This window comes from Homo sapiens, chromosome 16 (assembly GCF_000001405.40).
Source record: "Homo sapiens chromosome 16, GRCh38.p14 Primary Assembly".
In the NCBI taxonomy this organism is placed as follows: domain Eukaryota; kingdom Metazoa; phylum Chordata; class Mammalia; order Primates; family Hominidae; genus Homo; species Homo sapiens.
The window spans coordinates 51195740-51198740 of record NC_000016.10 but is presented as its reverse complement, the minus strand read 5'-3'; the positions used below and the strand labels follow the sequence as shown (position 1 = coordinate 51198740).

Below are 3001 nucleotides of genomic sequence, written 5' to 3'. Positions count from 1 at the left end.
CTGCTATGTTCCAAAAAGGAACTCGGTGGGTTTTGAGGGTCAAAATCCAGCATTATCAACCAAGACATCTTCTCCATTAAAAACTGTAGTCACACCACACACAGCCTGTGAGCTTTTCAAGGGCCCAAGAAATGGTTTGAGACCCCAAACAAAAGACACAGGCAGAATAAATAAATAAATAAATAAATAAATAAATAAATAAATAAATAAAAAACCCCAGGGAACCTGCAAAACCATGTGTACCATATGTTGGATTAAATGTCTACAAAATGTAGTATGAGGCCAACTTGTCAACCACAGATGAAATGATTCGTGAGCAGCTATATATGAATTATAATTAATGCGAGGGGTGGGTATTTTAGGATGCTATCATTGATAGCAGGCCGGGCAGAGCATGAAAAAGGCAGGCTGATGGGCTATGAGTGTTATAAAACAGTCCTGTGGTTCAGACTGGAATCCCTGTGTCCAAGACTACACACTGGACTCTTGAAAACACATGAGAAAATGTCTTTCTGGCTGAAACTGCCTCCCTCAGAGTTATAGATCACCATCTGTGGACAGAAATCTTTTCTGGGGAGAAGATGTCACTGGCGTTCAGAATCCAATATTTGCCCTGGCTTTGTTCTTCCTTCACAGGAATCCATGCTCCACAGCAGTTCCCAGCAAGCTGCACTCTTCGAAGGCGGGATGCTGAAACCTCTGCCCCCACCCCCTACATTAGCTTTATATCCAAATGTGACTCGGAGGCTGGTGAGCTCAAGGTGATCAATGACAGCTCCAATCAAAGCCACCCAGTAGACAGTGCACTCACCACTCCTTGATATAAAAGGTGTTTTATTTCTCATCCTTTTATTTTTGTCACTGAAAGAATGCTTCCCATGTGTGGATTAATTAAAGTGTAAACATTAAATATTGATTGATGCATTATCAGCATGGAGCAGTGGCCTCCTGTCTGATTGATTCCTGCAGTGATTTATTGTCATATTTGGGGAGTCATTTCATTTGATAACCAAGAGGGATCGCCTGCCTCCCCCCACCACGCCGGCTCCACTCCCCTCTTTTTTTCCCGGTACCTCCTCTTATTCTAGGTGACATCGAGTTCCAATAACTAAAACATCTTCATCTTACTGTCGAGAGAAAAGTGTGTGGCCTGACATTTGTTTTGTGTATGTGTATGTCTGTATGTGTCTCCCAGGCAATTATCAAATCAATTAACAATTTAACACAGAAATAACAAATCTACCCTCTTCTTTGGGATATTTCTGATTAACAGAGCTTGCCCCTACAAATCTCTGTGAGATATTATTATGGGAACTTGGGGGTGGAATGTTGGGGAGAGCATAAAATGAAACAAAGAGAGAAAAAAAAAGCTATAGTTCCAGTTGTGTCATTTTTCTGAAGTTTGCTTTCACTGTGGAACTAGAAGCGATGGGGAAATAAAATAGCAATTTATATTTATAATTGGATATAAGTCTCTATAGATATGAATCACCATACCACATTTTATCAGGTTGACCCACATGAAATTGCTGTTTTATAGGTCAAAATGATCAAATATTGACAATTTCATATAGCTGAAGCTTATATATTTAACCTCCCTTCTGAAGTAGGATTTGATGGTTAGTGTTTGTTCTGTTTTCCAATGAGAAAAGGGCACAAAAGGGTGATACATACAGTTACCATTTAGTTTGTTTTAGCATAAACCAGGCATTAATCTAAACACTTTACATAATTTTCTACCACAGCCTATGAGATATAGGCACTATCGGTTGTATCCATTTCACAGACTTTTTAAGAAACATAAACAAATAAAACAAGGCTTCAGATGACTAAATAAGTTGGTGGGGACTTCATGGAGCACAGAAGTCTGAAGATTTCAACCTCCCTGCAATGTGTCCAGTTCGAGGCATTCACCAGTCAAGGGGAGACACTGAGATATCTCAGGGGCTCTTGACCCCAATCAAGGGCACGCATGGTCCAGCGGCCCCACAAATGGCTTGAAGACTTTGGCTTTGAAATCTTCCTGGTTCCTGGCTTCTTCTCGGCAGAAGGAGGGAGCAGACACTGTCCAGACCTCCAGACCAGCATGGAGCAAACAGAAGGAGAGTGTTTGACCCTATTCTCTAGGCTGCTGTTCTGAGCAGGAGCCCAGAGTCAGCACCTCCATAAAGAAGGGGGCATTTGAGGCCTTCCTTGCTCCAGTGAGGGAGCCCAGAGAGGACTTCCCAGGGGTCTTCCATCACCAACATCCAGCCTGGAGGATGTGCTCAGGGAGGCCAGACTCTGGTCTCCTGATTTGTCATCAGACTAATTATTAAATGGAACCAGAAAAGAAAGCCAGCACACTGTTCCCCTGGACCTCCCTCAGCCCCGGAAATGCTGGCTGGTGGCTTAGGGTCCCCATCCCCATAGGACTCTGCCTATTTCACTCAGGGCTCCAGGTCCTCGTCAATGCCACTGCCATATTCTACAAATCACATCATGCAGCAAGATGCTTCTCCACATGGTCAAGGGCTGAATGAGCCCTCTGCTCCCTCCAGGACCTGCCTGTCAGTTCCCCCACAATCCTTCCTCTCCATCTGCTTTGATTGACACTTTTCTGAGGATGACCCCAATAAAACAAAACGTGATTGGCTGTAGCCTATAGAAAACTTCATACTCTGTATAAGGGCAGTATATAATTACAATGATCGATTAGTGGAAAATTTATCAATTGGTGACTCCTTTAAAAAAAATGCCCTGGTACAAATGCATCCCACTATCATAAGATTCTTCTATGATAAAATCTTTTTCTTCCTTAATGTGTGTGTGCATGTGTGTGTGTTGGTGGTGGTGGTGGTATTCTTTGTTTTCCAATTTCTCAAGTTGAATGGTTTGGTTTGTGTGTTCTCAGTCTTATCTTTTAATAAGCACCTTGGTGGTGCTCAAGTTAGTGGTAGAAGTGCCATTCACTGCTTCCCTCCAGAGACACCTTCCCAACACATGGCCTTCTTCTAACCCA

The 3001-nt window shown here is 42.8% G+C and overlaps 1 annotated feature.

Moving 5' to 3' along the window:
* Nucleotides 290–1531: an enhancer, noted in NCBI's record as "VISTA enhancer hs76". NCBI's record gives its function as "enhancer in: neural tube[3/6] | midbrain (mesencephalon)[3/6]" and the evidence as "EXISTENCE:transgenic organism evidence [ECO:0001131][PMID:17130149]".